The sequence below is a fragment of the Homo sapiens genome, chromosome 10, assembly GCF_000001405.40.
Source record: "Homo sapiens chromosome 10, GRCh38.p14 Primary Assembly".
Classification (NCBI taxonomy): Eukaryota; Metazoa; Chordata; class Mammalia; order Primates; family Hominidae; genus Homo; species Homo sapiens.
The window spans coordinates 19,792,643-19,811,950 of record NC_000010.11 but is presented as its reverse complement, the minus strand read 5'-3'; the positions used below and the strand labels follow the sequence as shown (position 1 = coordinate 19,811,950).

The following is a 19,308-nucleotide window of genomic DNA, read 5'->3' as shown; positions in this document are numbered from 1 at the left end:
GCTCAGCAAGCACTTAGTGAATTGAAAAATGAAATAAATGTGTTAAAGAATATGCTGTACAATGCAGAGTGATGGGGCACATGGAAAAGTTCTCAAGCGATTATTGCTTTGGACACAGTTGTCAGCCTTATAGCCTATCCACATTTTGCTGGTGGAAATATCTAAACTGCAGGAAATTTGACTCTCAAATATCAGCCCCAGGAGAAATTGTGTTTCTGCAGAGCCCCTAGTGGAGGCTGTTACTCCTGGCACAGGCTTCTTGTGTTGGAGGCAGGACTGCTCTGATTCACATAGGCACCACCACTGCCAGTGTCCACCAAAATGACTTGTACTGAATTTCCTTTCCTCATCTTGCATTCATCCTGTTTTCATTTGCCCTAAATTTCCAGTCTTTTTATTTCCATCTCTACAAAATTTTTATTGAGATATAATTTATGTAGCTTAAGATTCACCTTTTTAAAGTGTACATAATTCAGTGGTTTTTAATATGCCCACAAGATGGTAAAATCAAGACTACCATCTAATTCCAGAACATGTCATCACTCCAAAAAGAAACCCCATACCCATTAACAATCACTGCCCATTCCCCTTTCTCCTCAGCCCCTGGCAAACACTAATCTACTTTCTGTCTCTGGGAATTTGTTCCTCCTGGAGAGCTCACATAAATGGAATCATACAGTATACGGCCTTTTGTGGCTGATTTCTTTTGCTTAGCATAATGTTTTCAAATTCACCCATGCTGTTGACTGTATCTGTACTTCGTTCCTTTTTATTTCCAATATTCCATTGAATTATATTATGGATAAAAGATTAAGTCCATCAGTTATTGGACATTTGGGTTGTTCCCACTTTTTGCCTATTATGAATAACGTGACTTTAAAAATCTATGCACAATTTGTGTGAACATATGAGCAGTATGGTGACACTATAATTAACTTTGTGAGAAAATGACAAACTGTTTTCCACAGTGGTTGCACCTTTTTACTTTCCTAACAATGCATGAGGGTTCAAATTTCTCCTCATCTTTGCAAATACTTGTTTTTCATTGAAAAAAAAACTACAGTGATCCCAGTTGGTGTGAAGTGGTATGACATTCTGGTTTTTATTTGCATTTCCCTGACGACTATTGATGGTAAGCATCTTTTCTTGGGCTTATTGAGCATTCATGTATCTTCTCTGGAAAAGATTCTCTCTAAACCCTTTCTCATTTTTAATTCGACTGTGTTTTTATTGTTGAGTTGTATGAATTCTCAACATAGTCTGGATGTTGGGCTCTTAAAGTATGTAGGATTTGCAAACATTTTCTGAAAGAAATGACATAATATGGGTTGTCTTTTCGCTTTCTTGATAGTGTTCTTTGATGCACGTTGTTTTTTATTTTGATAAAGCAAGATGTATATATTTTTCTTTGGTTACTTCTACTATAGGTGTCATGTATAAGAAACTCATGCCTAATCCAAGGTTGATTTATGCCTATATTTTCTCCTAAGAATTTTATAGTTTCATTTTCATATTTAGTTCTTTGGTCCATTTATGTAAATTTTTGTATAAAATGTGAGGAAGGGGACAAAAATTATTCTTTTGCATATGGACATACAATTGTCTCAGCCACTTGTTGAAAAGATTGTTACTGCATTGAATGATCTTGACATCATTGTTGAAAATCAGTTGGCCATAGACATATAGGTTTATTTCTGGACTCCCAATTCTATCCCATTAATATATATGTCTCTCCTTATACTACACTGTTTTGGTTACTGTAGCTTTTTGGTAAGAGTTGAAATAAGGAAGTGTGAGTCCTCTTGCTATGTTCTGTTTATCAAGATTGATTTAGCTAGTCTGAATCCTTTGCATTTTCATATAAAGTTTAGAATTCGCTTGTCCATTTCTCCAAAAGAGGCTGTTGGAATTTTGATTGGGATTTAATTGAACCTCTAGATTAATTTTGGGACTGTTGCCATCTTGACAATATGAAGTCTTCCAATCCATGAATGTGAGATGTCTTTCTATTAATTTTCCTCTTCTTTAATTTATTTCAATATTGTTATGTAGTTTTGTAGCTTCAATGTACTAGCATTGCACTTGTTTTGTTATATTTATTTCTAAGTATTTTATTCTTTTTGATGCTGTTATAAATGAAATCGTTTTCTTAATTACATTTGTAGATTTCGAATGGTTCTCATATTAGTTTGCTAGGGCTGCCACGACAAAACACCACTGACTGAGTGGTGTAAACACTCACATTTCTGGAGGCTAAGAGTCCCAGATCAGGGTGCCAGCAGTTTTGGTTTCTTCAGAGGCCTTACTTCTTGGCTTGTAAATGCTCATGTTCTCACATGATCATTTCTCTGTGTACACATCTTCCTTTTTATTCAAATTTTCTTTTACCATAAGGTCAGCAGTGAGATTGGATTAGGAACCACCATAATGGCCTCATTTTAACTTGAACACCTCTTTTAATGCTCAATTCCCAATTACAGGCACATTTTCGGGTTCTGAGAGTTAGGCCTTTAACATATGAGTTTGGAGGGGCACAAAATCCAGCATATACCAGTTAATAGATAGGAGTACAACTTATTTTTTGTTTATTAATCTTGCAAACTTGCCAATTGATTGGGATTTAATTGAACCTCTAGATTAATTTTGGGACTGTTGCCATCTTGACAATATGAAGTCTTCCAATCCATGAATGTGAGATATCCCCACATTCCCAATGCATTTATTATATCTAATAGTTTTTTACAGGTGTGAGAATTTCTTAGGGGTTTTTTTTAGGTATAAGATCTTCAAATATCTTTTTCTTTTGTCTTCCTTTCCCATATAGATAGATGCCTTTTGTTATATTTTCTTACCAAATTACCCTGGTTAGAACCTCTGGTACAATGTTAAATGGAAGTGTTGACAGTAGTTGTCTTGTTCTTGATGCTATAGGGAAAGCTTTAACTCTTTCACCATTAAACATGACATTAGCTGTGGAGTTTTCACTGATGCCCTTTATCAGGTTGAGCAAGATTCCTCCCATTCCTAGTTTATGAGTATATTTATCATGAGTGGGTGTTGGATTTTGCCAATTTTTTTTTCTGCATCAACTAATAAGATTGTGCATTTGTTTCTTTTATTCTATTGGTATGGCATATTACTTGGATAGATTTTGATGTGTTGAACCAATCTTATATACTCAAGAGAAATTCTACTTGGTCATGGGATATGGTCCTTTTTCTCAGATACTAAATTCAGCTTTCTAGCATTTTAAAAAAATTCTGCATCCATATATGTAAGGGGCATTAGTTTTTATTTGTCTTTTCTTGTGAGGTCTTTGCCAGGTTTTGGTATCAGGGTAATACTACCCTCATTAGAATGAGTTAGGAAGTGTTCCTTCTTCTTTACCTTTTGGAAACATTTGGAAAATATGTGTTAATTTATCTTTAATCTTTTAGTAGAATTCACCAGTGAAGCCATCTGGGTATGATTTTTTGTGTGTGTGGAAATTTTTTCTTTATTAATCTACTGTTTCTCTTTTTTATCAGTCTTGTCAGATTTTCTATTACTGTTTGAGCCTGTTTCGATATTTTCTTTGTCAGGAATTTTCCATTTGTTATCTAATTTATTAGTATACAATTGTGTATAATATTCTCATATAACAATTTTTATTTCTGTATGGTTGGTAGTAATGTCCACTTTTTCGTTTCTGATAACTTGGGTGTTCTGTCTTTTTTCTTGGTAAATTGAAGTAAAGCTTTGTCAATGTTGTTGATCAAAAACGAAGAGTTTTGTTGACATTCTTGATTGTTTTTCTATTCTCATTCTCTATTTCTTTTATTTCCACAATAATCTTTCTTGTTTACCGCCTATTTGCTTTAGGTTAGCTTACGTTTTTTTCTAGTTTCTTAAGGTGGAAAGTCAGGTCATTAATTTTAGATCTATTCTTTTTAAATGTAGGCATTTGTAGCTATAATTTTCTCTCTGAATACTGTTTTTGCTGCATCCCAAGTTTTGATATATTGTGTTTTTATTTCACTAATCTCAAAATATTTTCTAATTTCCCTTGTGATTTCTTCTTTTATCCATCAGTCATTTAGGAATGTGTTGTTTAATATCTATGCATCAGAGAATATCCCAAATTTTCTATATTATTGATTTCTAACTTTATTTCATTTTGGTCTGAGAACATATTTTGTAAGATGTCAAACCTTTTACATTTATTGAGACTTGCTGTATTGACTAATACATAGTCTCTTTTGGAGAACATTCAGTGAGCACTTGAGAAGAATATATTCTGTTGTTTCACAGATGTTCTACAGAAGTCCACAGACATAGAGAATGTTCTGCAGATGTCTCTGGTCTAGACGGTTTATAGGTTTGCACAAGTCTTCAGCAGTATGTTTAATTTTGTGTTTACTTGTTCTAACCACTATTTAATGTCTTCAACTATTATTTTTAACTGTCTTTTTATCTTTTCAATTCTTTCAGTTTGTCTTTATGTCTTTTATGCTCCATTGTTAACTGCATATATGTTTATAATTGTTATATCTTCTCAGAAGATTGACTCATAATTATAAAAAGTTCTTTTGATCTCTGGTAACAAGTTTTGTTTTAAAATCTTTTATTGTCAAATATTAGTATGGACTCTCCAGCTCTCTTGGTTACTCTTTAGATGGTATATGTTTTCCTATTCTTTTAATTTTTTTTGTGTGTCATTGAATCTAAATTTTGTCTCTTAGAGTTAGCATATAGATAAACTTTGTTTTAAAAAAATATATTATGCAATATCTTCCTGTTAATTGGAAAGTTTAATCCATTTAAATGTAATATAATTACTGATAAGGTAAGTATCATATTTGCAATTTTGTTATTGTTTTCTTTTTTTGTTGTTGTTTTTTGATGGAGTCTTTCACTCTATCACCCAGGCTGGAGTGCAGTGGCACCATCTTGGCTCACTGCAACCTCCATCTTCCAGGTTCAAGTGATCTCCTGCCTCTGCCTCCCAAGTAGCTGTGATTACAGATGTATGCCACCACACCCAGATGATTTTTGTGTTTTTAGTAGAGACAGGGTTTCACCATGTTGGCCAGGCTGGTCTTGAACTCCTGAACTCAGGTGATCCACCCGCCTCAGCGTCCCAAAGTGCTGGGATTACAGGTGTGAGCCATCATGCCCGACCAATTTTCTGTATGTATTTTTCCCCATTATTTCTGACTTATTTTGTGTTTAACAGATATATCTTCTAGCATACCATTTTAATTCTTGTGTTATTTCTTTTCTTTTATATTTTATTTTCCTAGCAGTTGTCCTGTGGATTATAATTAGTATCTTAATTTATAATGATCTAATTTTAATTAATACAAAATTAATTTCAATAGCATACAAAAATGTTGCTCCTATGTAGCTTTGTTATCCCCCCCATACTGTTTTTAGCATAAATTACATGTTTATACATTGTGCACCCATCAACATAGATTTATAATATTGCTTTACACAGTTGTCTTTTAAAGTCAGCAGAAAAAATTACAAAAAAATAAACTTATACTGTCTTTTATGTTTATGTATGTAGTTGTTTTTACTGGTGCTTTTTAGAAAAAAAAAGAAAATTCATGTGAATTAGCATTACTATCTAGTATTCTTTCATTTTAGCCTGAGAACTTCTTTTAGTATTTCTTGTTGGGCAGGTTTTCCAATGATGAACTCCTTTGGTTTTTGTTTCTCTGGGAATGTTTTATCTTCACCTTTATTTTTGAAAAGTAGTTTTGCCTGCTATAGAATTCTTGGTTGATGAAGTTTTGTTTCGTTTCGTTTTCTAGCACTTTGAAAATATCATTTCAATGCCTTCTGGTCTCCAAGATTTCTGATGAGAAATTAAATATCAGTCTTATCGAGAATTCTGTTTATGTGATGAACCATTTCTCTCTTGGTACTTTCAAGATTCTTTCTTTTCCTTCAACAGCTTATTATGATATATCTAGATGTGGATTTCTTTGATTTTTTTTCGTGGTTGGAGTTTGTTGAGTTTCTTGGATATGTAACTTAATCATTTTCATCAAATATAATAAATTTTTCCAACTACTCCCTCAGATTTTTTTTCTGCCTCTTCTTTTGTCCTCTCATTCTGGAATTCTATTTTGCATCCATCGGTGCACTCAATGTCGTCCCACCATTCTCTGACAGCTGTTCATTTTTCCTTAATTTTTTCTTCTTTTTATCTCTCAGACAAAATAATCTCAGTTGACTGTATTGAAGTTTACTGATTCTTTCTTCTGACTGTTCAGATATTCTGGTGAACCCCTCTAGTAAATTTTTCATTTCAGTTATTATATTTTTCAACCCAGAATTTCTTTTTGGTTCATTTTTATAATTCCATTTATGAGCATGAATTCTCATGCTTTAAAAAAACTTATTTATGCATGGTTTATTGCAGGTTTTTGAAAATATTTGAAATAGTTTGTTTAAATTTTTGTCTAGTGAAACCAACATGAGCTTCTTCAGAGATAGTCTCTATTGACTGAATTTTTCCCTGTGCATGAGCCAAATATTCTTACTTTTTTTTTTGCATGTCTCATAATTTTTTGTTGGAAACTGGACATTTTAAACAATACAGTGTGACAACTTTATAAATCAGATTCTCTCCCCTCACCAGGTTTCATTGTTATGGCTGCTTGATATGGCCACTGTTGTTTACCTAGTAAATTTTCTGAACCAGTTTCATGAAGTCTGTATTCTTTGTTACATGTGGTCTCCTAAGTCTCTATTTGGTTAGCCAAGGGGTCAGCTAATGGTTACACAGAAGTTTCCACACACACACAAAAAAAATGGATTGAAAAATTATTTCAGTCTATTGCAAAGGGCTCTGTGTGCTTGTTGGGGTTAGCCTTTAACACTCAGCCTGGCAGTCCACAAATCTGCTTTAAGCCTTCACTTTCTGTTGACAGTCAGCCAGAAGTGAGTCCTTACAGCCTTATAAGGTCTTTCTGTAGCCTTATGCATGCATGTGGCCTTCTACAGTCCAGAAATACATTGTAGCTTCTCAAAACTCACCTAGGTATCTCATTCTTCAGTTTCTCCTTTTAAGCTTTTTGGTTAGTCTATTATTTGCCCCATCAATTATCAATCTCCATAGGCAGCCACAAAGGTAAAACTCTTGCTTATAATTGTTTCTGACAAATGCCCCCACACTCACCTGCCATATGGCTTTTAGTACTGGGAACGTGCCAAGTTACCTTGTAAGTGGGTCTTTCTGGAATCCTTCAGGCAGGTCAAATAAGGACAGATATTCAGGAATGACTCTTTGAAATGGCTCCAGCTCTGTTTGCTAATTCCAATAGCTACCAAGGTGCACCAGGAATGCAGACTGTTATTTTTTATGGTTGCCACTGAGCTGAAGAGTAAGACATAGAACTAGAGCATGATAAAATTCCACAAAACTCCCAGGTTTTTGTTGAGTATCTATTTTTTCTTGAATAAACACTTTCTGGGTTCTTTCAAGCATTTGGTTAATTTCTAGAATCCTGAAAAGGATGATTCTGTTACCTTTGCCAGTTGCTTTTCCAGAGGAGAAAATTTTTGAGATCCTTATTCTAACATTTTTACTGATGTCACTCCTGCACCGTTTTAAATAGTCTGAAAACTTTAGAGATTAAGGACATTTATAAAAAAATAAATTTGAAATAATTAAAGTATAACAAGAAGAAGATACAGTACGTGAAGTTATAATATCTAGTTTAACTTTAACATTAAAGTAAGTTAAGTCCTTCAAAATATGTGGGGATAGAATAGCATCACATTTGTACATTCTTTTGATTTAAGAATATTTGTTAAGAGATTTAAAAAATACACTAGTTCCCCCCTACCTTTTTATGCATTTTGGTTTGAAAATGTTAACATATGTCATAATAGAAAATATTTATATCTTTAAACTCATTAACCTATACTGCCTGCTCCTACACAATGCAGCACTGCAAACTACTGCTCGGCATCCCTTTGAATAATTTTTAACTAAATAAGTATTAACTTTTAATCTGTAAGATAAAAATGAGTTACATCAGGCCAGGCACAGTGACTCATGCCTGTGATCCCATCACTTTGGGAGGCAGGTGGGAGGATCACTGAGTCCAAGAGGTCTAGACCAGCCTGAGCAACATGGCAAGACCCCGCCTCTACAAAAGTAAAAGAATTAGCCAGGCTAATTCTCTGTGTGGTGGCACATACTTTAAGTCCAGCTTGAGCATGGGAGGCTGAGGCTGCAGTGAGCCATGATTGTGCCACTGCATTCCAGCCTGAGTGGCAGAGTGAGATCCTGTCTCAAAAAAAAAAAAAAAAAAGAAAAGAAAAGAGTTGCATAGATGAAAGTTGACTTCTGAGTTATTAGAAATCTTAGCAAATAGTTCAAAATAGTTCAAATAAATATATTGATTTATTTTCTCACTTGACTTCTTATCGATGTATTCTTGTAAAACATTAAAATCTTTTATTAATCAGTCCAGTCTCAACAAGTAAACAGATGTAGAGCATGTTATCATATTTTGAACATTTCTTAAAAGAGGTAGATTCACCTTAAACACATTTCTTTATACATAGATGTTCACTAAAATGAATCATTAAAGTGATTTATTTTAATAGCTCTTTTATCACTAATGGATGTTGACCTCAGCCCATTATTTTGTGCTTCTCCATACTCTTTCTGGTTGGATTTTAGCATGTTTCCGAAGTGATCCTAAGATCTTAAATGGGCTAAAGATGTTTCAAGTTCTCTAACATCCTTTTATTGTGATAAAATATGCATAACATAACATTTAGCATCCTAACCATTTTTAAGTGTAGAATTTAAGTGGCAATAAGAACTTTCGCATTGGGCCAGGTGCAGTGGCTCACACCTGTAATCCCAGCAATTTGGGAGGCCAAGATGGGCAGATCGCTTGAGGTCAGGAGTTCGAGACCAGCCTGGCCAACATGGTAAGACCCTGTCCCTGCTAAAAATAGAAAAGTTAGCCAGTTGTGCTGGTGTGCACCTGTAGTCGCAGCTACTCAGGAGGCTGAGGCAAGAGAATAGCTTGAGCCTGGGAGATGGAGGTTGCAGTGAGCCAAGATCATGCCACTGCATTGCAGCCTGAGTGAAAGAGCAAGACTCCATCTCAGAAAAAAAGGACTTTCTCAGCGTTGTGCAACCAACATCATCCTCTGACTTCAAAACTTTTTCATTATCCCAAAGTGAAATTCTGTGTTCATTACACAATAATTCCCCATTCCACATTCCCCCATCCCTTAATAACCACTATTACTTTTCTTCTTTATGAATTTGACTAGTCTAGGTACCTCATATAAATGGACTCATATAATATTTGTTCTTTGGGGTCTGGCTTATTTCACTTAGTATAATGTCCTCAACATTCACCCATGTTGTGCCATGTATCAAATTTCATTCCTTTTTAAGACTGAATAATATTCCATTGTATGTACATAACACATTTTGTTTATCCATTCATCCATCGAAAGACATTTGTCTAACCTCCTTTCTTGATATGATTTTAACAAAACAATGGCATACAATTAGTCCATATGTTCAATCCAAAACTAACTTGGAAAAGAAAATTATGCTAGCAAGTGAAGAATAAAACGCATTCCGTATAAATCCCTTAGGCCACATTCATATTTCAAGATACCATATCTACATGACTAGAATGCAGATACACTTGAGATTTTGTTTACCTGCATATGAACCATTCAATACTGACTGCTGGCTGAAAATTAACTTTTACTTGCTCTTTTATTTCATGTAATAAACTTGGTGTAAAAATCTCTATTCTCAATATTAAGATTTGTAAAACATATACACCAAAAGTCTTAAATACTACTTAATAATATATTCTTTATAGCAATGGTTTTGCAATATACCAATTTTAATTTTTTAAAAGACTAATTAATCCTGTTTGTTTGCTTTTTAGTCTCGTTACTCTGGTTTCATTCTTGCTCTAACCTACTCTTCTACTGTCACTTTCTTCAGAATTTTCCTGGCAATCTGTTTTTTCCCCTAAAGCTCTCCTTTGCATCCTCAAATATTACTACTTTGTTTCTTAAGATATTGCACTTCCATTTCTATTCTATTTTTCTTTTATCCTCAACTAAGACAATACCACAGAATTAGTTTGCTATAAACATATTACTGCAAGGAAGGAAATTTAATATCAATGTGATTGCAGATATGAACCATTTCAATGTGAGAAATGTTACTGGATTATCACAACATATCCACTTTTATTAAGGAATGAAGGCTAAATGTCACATGGGACATGGATAATTAAAATCAACATATACAAGAGTCAAGATTGCTCATGTAATGTGATGTGAAAGCTTCAGAAGGCAAGAAAAGGCTGTGGTGAAAACTCTTTCTGCTGTGTATGCAGCCAATTGAAACTCGATGGCTTCAGCAAGTTCCTGCACAGTCACATCAACAGGCTAATATCAACCCAATCATCTCAGGGATTCTTCACTGTGCCTCTTTTATGGCCGGGATGAAAAGAAAAACCTATTTTTTTTTTTTTTTTTTTTTTGAGGCAGGGTCTCACTCTGTCGCCCAGCCTGGAAAGCAGTGGCGTGATCTTGGTTCACTGCTGCCTTGACCTTCTGGGCTCAAGCAATCCTCCCACCTCAGCCCCTAGGTAGCTGGGACCACAGCACACACCACTACACCCAGCAAATTTTTGTATTTGTTGTAGAGACAGGGTTTCACTATGTTGCCCAGGCTCGTAAACCCAGAATTTTATAGGAAATCATATTTACTTCACATGTGATGCTTAGCAGATCTGAACGTATATTTCTAAATTTAAAAACAATATAATGTTCCTCCTTGTTCTGATAAATAAATAAATAATTTAATGTATTAAATAATTAGATAAACAGTGTTATACTAGGAGAGAATTCGTAGACAAATATTTGGGAGATCAGCTTAGAATAAGCTAATAAACAACCCCTCATTTTAATGGAACAAGTTGAAAATATCTTTCAGATTGAGTTGATGCAGATGGCACAGGCAAGTCAGGCAGAAGACTTCTTTTCACAGTTTATGAAACCAAATAGAACTAAGTAGCATCTTTCAAAAGAGAAATATACAAAATCTTGGCTCAGAAGGCATTATGCTCCAAAGGTCCATGTCTGTCATTTTTAATTTTTAACCTGCAACCTATATTCCCATTAGCAAATATGTTGTGATAAATGTTATGAAGTATGTCAACACCAAAGTAAGTTGCCAGGACAGTCTAAAATATGTTTTTGGCTCATAATAGTACTGAAATTGTACTTATAGCAGAAAAAAATTGACAAAACTAAAACATATAACCATTAGTTATATACATGGTTATATATGTATAACGATATAACATACATACTTAATAATATCCTACAAGTTAACTACAAAAAAAAGGATGGGAGATATTTCAGAGAAATACATATGATAATATTACATTGATCTAATAATAATATGATGAAAAGCCATGAGAGCAAAAAAGTAATATGTAACTTTCAAGTAATATGTTATTGTACACTTTGAACTTTCCTATAGCTTCGTATTGAGTTTGTCAGGGCCAAGTACTTAAGAAGTCACGGAATTTGGCCACCAATGCATTTTTCCAGTAGAAATAAGTATTATTTAATCATGACTAATTCACTGAAATATGTATGCACTATTTATTGAAATCCTGCAAAAGATGAAGGAACAGTGAAACTCAGGTATTCTCTGATCTACTTAAAATGACAGACAAATCACAGCGTAATTTGTGTATTAAAAGGCAAATGAAAGCTTTAGAATCTCTTAAGAGCATCCGAAAAATTTTAATGAATGCTAATGTGCTATTGTTAATGAATGTCTTTTGCACATAACTGGAAAAGTCTATTAGTTTCTTTTAATACTTGGAGGATTCCATTTATTATTAAAGAATTCAATACTCCCATTTTTTTCTAGTTCTACAGAATGTGGTCTGACATATTTCACTACCTGTGTGTGTTCTCTCTTTCTGGTTTAATTTTAGTTGCCCTGACTAAATCATCCATCATTTTTAGGATGATTTTTCTCCTTATTGGTTTTTGGGACTGCCTCACTAGCTTTAGCTATTTGCAAGTTTCTTTTTCTGATATGTCACTTTGAAAATAGTTCAGTGACTTTCTTACCGAAAATTTTTCTAATAGCATTTTAGTTTCAGTTCATTTTTCTATTTATTATTCTTTATGCTTTTCCTGTCTTTTCATTAGTCAGTATGACTTAGGTTTTGAAATTTTGAATTTCTATCTCGATTTGGGGGCTTCAATAAAATAAACAGATCCCCCAAATAAAAAACATTATCTCTATATTTTCATTGTACATCTTGTAAATATTCCATAACCTCTAAATCCTGTGGTAATGAGAGGGAAGAGCTTTTTAATGTATTGGATTAAGATGATCATGTTAGTTACTTACTTTATTTTAGGGACTGGAGAGTTGATATGGTTTGGCTCTGTGTCCCCACTCAAATCTCATCTCTAACTGTAACCCCCACGTGTCAGAGGAGGGCCCTGGTGGGAGGTGATTGGTTCATGGGATCAGATTTCCTCCTTGCTGTTTTTGTGATAGTGAGTGAGTTCTCATGAGATCTCATGGTTTAAAAGTGTGGCACTTCCCCCTTCACTCTCTCTTTCCTGATGCCATGTAAAACATGCTTCCTCTTTGTCTTCTGCCATGATTGTAAGTTTCCTAAAATCTTTCCAGCCATGCAGAACTGTGAATCAATTAAACCCCTTTTTTTCCTAAATCAACCAGTCTCAGGTTGTTCTTTAACAGCAGTGTGAAAATGGACTACTACAAGAGTGTTTTGTATTAATCCCCTTAGACCATTCAAACTTTCTATTTTGTGTGGAAGGGAAAGCAAACAGATATATTGCTTAGGGACCTGAGAATTCACTTTTAAATTTACTTGATGAAGGCCAACCAAGATCAAAGTCTAGACAAGAAATGCTTGCACTACAGTACAGAGTGCATACACTATCCTTGGTAGTATCTGAACATGAAGATAGAGGATGTGTAAGAGGAGTAGGAGCAAACAACTCCATGCTTGAGTGGGAGGAAGTTCATTGAAAGATAAAAATCAAGAGGTAACATTTCAAAGACTCTGAAGATCTATGAGAAGCTATAACAACTGAGCATACTCTGGATAGATATATATATTAGCAAAAGATGGATCAGAGATAACTGACGTGTAGTTCTGGAGACAGCACCAAAGAATGATTCCAGATACAGGACAGGGAGAGATACAGACATAATATGATCAGAGGATAGACATAGAGTTACAACCACATAATGATCCCTCTCTTGGTTTCAAGTGATACCCAAGAGTCCTCACATCATTAACTAACCTCAAGACTTGTGTAGCCAATTTTATAAACTCTAAAATTAGATCCAAGATTAATAATGGCCACTTGACTCGGTATCTGCATTTTTATTTGATGCACATTGGTATCTGAATTTTATTTACTTATTTTTGAGATAGGGTGTCACTCTGTCACCCCGGCTGGATTACAATGGCACTATCATGGTTCACTGCAACCTTGACCTCCCAGGCTCAAGCGATCTTCCCACCTTAGCCTCCCAAGTAGTTGGGACCACAAGTGTGTGCCACCATGCCTGGCTAATTTTTGTTTATTTTTATTTTTTGTAGAGGCAGGATTTCACTATGTTGCCCAGGCTAGTCTTGAACTCCTGGGCTCAAGTGATCCTCTTCCCTCAGCCTCCCAAAGTGCTGGGATTATAGGTGTGAGCCACCATGCCTGGCCCTGAGGTTTTTACATAAATGTGATTCTCAACAGGATGAACTTGTCATTATTTCCTGCAAATCTGAGGATATTTTAGGAAAAGCACTCTGATCATCTGAGTGTTCTTCCTGCCCACTGCACAAATGAAAAGCATCCACTGAGACCACAGCATTACAGTAGAGAAAGAGTTTAACTGATGTGAGGCTGGCCCCTGAGGGAGAACTGGAGTTACCACTCAAATCAGTCTCCCCAAAGGCTTAGAGGTTAGAGTTTTTATGGATAATTTGGTGGGTAGGGAGCTAGGGAATAGGTGCTGCTGATTGGTTGGGGATGGATTCATAGGGGTGTGGAAAACAGTCCTTGTGCACTGAGTCTGCCTCTGGGTGGGACCACAGGATCAGTCCAGTCATGAGTCAGGAGTCCTGGTGGGGTCAGTCTGAAAGATATCTCTGAAAACCAATCTTAGGTTCTACAATAGTGATGTTCTCTATATGACCAACTGGGAAACTCACATATCTTGTGACCTTTGGCCACAGAAGCCCTGAGCAATAAAAGATTATAGAAACTATGTATATCTTATCATAATTCAGGTACCTCTCATAATCCTATTCTTGTGGCCTTTTATTAGTCTTCCAAAGGTGGTTTTGGGCCCCTGAACAAGGAGGGGATTAGTTTTAGGGAGGGACCATTATCATCTTTGCTTTCAAGTTAAACTATAAACTAGATTTCTCCCAAAGTTAGCTTGGCCCATGCCCAGGAATGACCAAGGACAGCTTGGAGGTCAGAAGCAAGATGGAGTCAACCATGTCAGATTTCTCTGTCATAATTTTGCAAAGGTAGTTTCAATTATATGTAGATAGAAAAAGAAATGATGTTATAGTTTTGCTTTTGGGAAACAAAAGAAGTCTATTTTTAAAAACACAAACTCCAAAATAAAATCTCAATTAATGGGAATATTAAAAAGATAGTTATTCCTTTTTGTTTGTTTTGTTTTGAGGCCATGTCTTACTCTGGAGACCAGGCTGGAGTGCAGTGGCACAATCATAGCTCACTGCAACTTTGACCTCCTGGACTCAAGCAATTCTCCCTCCTCAGTCTCCCAAGTAGCTGGACTATGGGTGTGGACCAACACACTTGGCTTTTATATATATATATATATATATATATGTATGTATGTATATATACACACACACACACACATATATATATATTTATTTTTTATTTATTTATTTTTTTGGGAAGTTGGGAGTCTTACCCAACTATCATGGCTCATGGCAACCTTGACCTCCCAGGCTCAAGTGATCTTCCCACCTTAGCCTCCCAAGTAGTTAGGACCACAAGCGTGTGCCAGCATGCCTGGCTAATTTTTATTTATCTTTATTTTTTGTAGAGCCAAGATTTCACTATGTTGCCCAGGCTGGTCTCGAACTCCTGGACTCAAGTGATCCTCCTTCCCTGGCCTCCCAAAGTGCTAGGATTACAGGCATGAGCCACCATGCCTTGCCAAAAAAGATAGTTATTCTTAATGGGGCTGTGGTGTAGCTGCCATACCCTGGAAGTGGGGTGTATGAGAAAGGAATTAGATTTTTATGCTTATTAAAAGAGAACATTAAATAGCACACAAAATATCAATCATGTATAATGGCTAATCAGTGCTGTTACACAACTGCTTGCAGGAGTCAGCATTTAAGTAGCTTTGAATGGCTTAGTATCAAATTGGGGATAGGACTAATTTAGTGACTCCATAAGGACTGCCACTGTGGGCAGTTCCATTCCTTGTCAATCATTATTTTAAAAAGAAGCCTCATGGACCAGGCACAGTGGCTCACCCCTGTAATCCCAGCACTTTGGGAGGCCGAGGCGGGTGGATCGCCTGAGGTCAGGAGTTCAGGACCAGCTTGGCCAACATAGTGAAACCCCGTCTCTACTAAAAATACAAAAAATTAGCTGGGCGTGGCGGGGAGCGCCTGTAATCCCAGCTACTGGGAGGCTGAGGCAGTAGAATCGCTTGAACTCAGGAGGCAGAGATTGCAGAGAGCTGAGATTGTGCCATTGCACTCCAGCCTAGGCAATAAGAGCGAAACTCCATCAAAACAAAACAAAACAAAAAAACCTTACAAAATACACAATAGAGATCCTCTGGTATTACACTGAAATGTACTATAAGGGAGCTTTATAGAGCAAACCTTAGATAAATCTGACATCAGCCCCTAAAGCAATGCTGCTTGGAGGTCCCTCCTTCCACTGCCTCTACCAGTATCACCAGATAGTCTTGTTTCAGATGCAGACTTCTGAACCACACCCGGCCTGGTGATTCTGATTCTGATTCAGTGAGTCTGACTCTGGGCGGAACGTGGGTAAGTACTTTTTTAACAAGCGTTTTAGGTGATTAAATGATGCAAGTCATCCTAACACAACACATCCAAAACAACCCTAGGTTAAAGACATCACAATAAATTTCCATTATACACGTGTATCTGAATGAATTTTTTATACTCTCTCCCGAATGTTAATGATGAATGAGGATAACCTTAAAAGAAAATGTACCTCTATAAAATAATAATGCACAATATTTATTATTTTTATTGTTTGTAGAGATGGGATTGCCCAGGCTGGTCTTGAAGTCCTGGCCTCAAGTTTTCTTTCTACCTCAACCTCTCCAGTAGCTAGGATTATAGGAGCAAACCACCGTGTCTAGCTAATGAATGATTTTTTTTTTTTTTTACACTTCTCTAGTGTCTACATTTTTTGTTTTGTTTTGTTTTGTTTTGAGACAGAGTCTCGCTCTGTTGCCCAGGCTGGAGTGCAGTGGTGTGATCTCGGCTTACTGCAACCTCTGCTTCCTGGGTTCAAGCCATTTTCCTGCCTCAGTCTCCCAAGTAGCTGGGACTACAGGCGTGCACCACCACACTCGGCTAATTTTTTGTATTTTTAGTAGTGACAGGGTTTCACCATGTTGGCCAGCCTTGTCTTGAACTCCTGACCTCAGGTGATCTGCTGGCCTCGGCCTCCCAAAGTGCTGGGATTACAGGCATGAGCCACTGCGCCTGGCATCAGTGTCTATATTTCTGAAGTGTGTTTTATTTGGATTAGAAAGTAAGAAGCATACATTAAAAATTAAATATGAAGCACATTCCTCTAAGATGAAATCCGTTTATATAATGAGTTGTTACTCAGAATTTAGGAAGGACAGTAACAGGTAAGTTGAAGACCAGCCCATCTTATTAAATGGCTCCTCCTTGATTATGTTTATATGTTACCAGTCAAAGCTTAAATCCTTTTGATTCTAAAACAATAGTTTCTCCTATAGGATTTTTTAGAGGTATTTAGGGAAACTTTCTTCTTCCTTGCTTCATTTATCAGAATAAGTAAAACATACCTACAGAAGGCGGTGCATTATTCATATTGTAACTATTTTAAACAGGGATATAATTGGTGTCTTGGAAAACTAGCCCTTTAATTACACATAAAATCTCTCATTGCTTATACATACATATAATGACATCTATTATTTGATTATTTATTTTAGCTTTAAACAACTTTTTAAATTATTGAAAGCAATGAAAAAACACATTATTCATGGCTTTATCTGAGAAAATAGTACAGACTGTAAGAAATAAATACTTTGTGTTTTAAGGGTTCACTGTTACCCAAATACTAATTTTTAGCTTTGTGATGTATGCTTTTGGTTATGTAAAATACTTCATAGGAATTAATTCAAATGCATCATTTAAATAGCAGTAAATTTATATCTTGTTTTTATATAAACTACATTATCTAAAACTTGTGTTAGAATATGTATTTATTTATTTATTTATTTATTTTGAGATGGAGTCTTGGTCTGTTACCCAGGCTAGAGTGCAGTGGTACAATCTCAGCTCACTGCAATCTCTACCTCCCGGGTTCAAGCAATTCTGCCTCAGCCTCCTAAGTAGCTGGGATTACAGCTGCGTGCCACCATGTCTGGCAAAAAAATTTTTTTTTTTTTTTAGTAGAGGCGGGGTTTCACCATGCTGGCTAGGCTGGTCTCGAACTCCTGAACTCAGGATCCACGTGCCTCGGCCTCCCAAAGTGCTGGGATTACAGGAGTGAGCCACCACGCCCAGCCTATTTATTTATTTTTTGAGGCAGGGTCTCATTCTGTCACCCAGGCAGGAGTGCAGTGCCATGATCTTGGCTCACTGCAACTTCCACCCCTTGGGCTCCAGTGATCCCCCAACCTCAGCCTCCCTAGTAGCTTCGACTACAGGTGCACACCACACACCTGGCTAATTTTTGTATTTTTTTTGTTGTTGTCGTTGTTGTTTTAGTAGAGACAGGGTTTCACCATGTTGCCAAGGCTGGAGAATATTTAGATCGACGAGGGTCTGATACTTGTTCTTCCAAATGAATCAAAGTAGTTGTTCAATAGAAACTGATACTGTCATATACACAGTTTGGAATGTAAAACTTATTAAAAAGTTACAGACCTTGAGAATATCTTATATTTTAGATGTTCTTTAATTTGGGGATTCCGATAGGTCACCCTCTAGTTTTGTGATATTCTACAGCTGGAATGAATCCTGATCCTCATAACAGAGCTGGGTTCTGCATAAGTAGAGAGTTCATCCAAATTATGATCAAGCTTGACAGAACCTCTTCTCAAATCAGATTGTGAAGTGGCCACAATGACACTTGAATAAAACAGTGGAGTTACAGTAAAGGGAACAATATCCTTTTTATTGCCTTTTCTTCACAGCTCAGAACAGAGACCAGTCTGGCTAATTTGGGAACGGTGACAAAATTAGTAACGGTTTGTAAATGCATAATTAGATGATTTTTAAAATTTTAACTTTTCATACTTTAAATGTAAGGTAAAATCAACAGTGAAAATGAAATGCCTATCTAGAAAAAATAGCTCCAATTAGCTCATTATTCAATTCTGCCCTTCTCTTTCTCATTCTTCCTTCTTTTAATGCCTGCATTTGCCTTTTCTTGTCTATGAAGATATTTTGGAGTCTAAAAGATTATTGTCATAAAGAAGCTATAATGTATAACCTTGGCTAGTTTCTTCAAGGGTGTTTTTAAGAATAAAATGAAACCTTGGTGCTTGCTTCATTAATATATATACTAAAACTGGAACAGCACAGAGATCAATATCGTCCATGTGCAAGGGTGGTTCACACATTTGTGAATCATTCCACATTTTTCAATCTTTGTGTTGGAAGAGACGAGAGTATGGAGGGAGGATGGAAAAGGGGATTAAAGGGTACTTCATCTCTATCACTAATATTTTACTTCTTATATTAATAAAAGTTCATCTTCACGTATGAATCTAAGTGTTAGTTGTATCTTTACTGATTTTTGTGTTTAAATATTTTTTAAAATATTACAGCAGTCATTTCATTTCCAAGTTCTTATTTCTTCCAATTTTATTTATTTTTTTATCTATTTAGAGACAGGGTCTCAGTCTGTTGCCCAGGCTGGAGTGCAGTGGCCCGATTACAACTCACCACAGCCTTAGCTTCCCAGGCTCAAGTGATCATCCCACCTCAGCCTCCTGAG

The 19,308-nt window shown here is 35.9% G+C and overlaps 1 pseudogene; it reads left to right on the top strand.

Annotated features, from left to right (window-relative positions):
- Positions 18,850-18,953, top strand: RNU6-1212P (RNA, U6 small nuclear 1212, pseudogene; annotated as a pseudogene).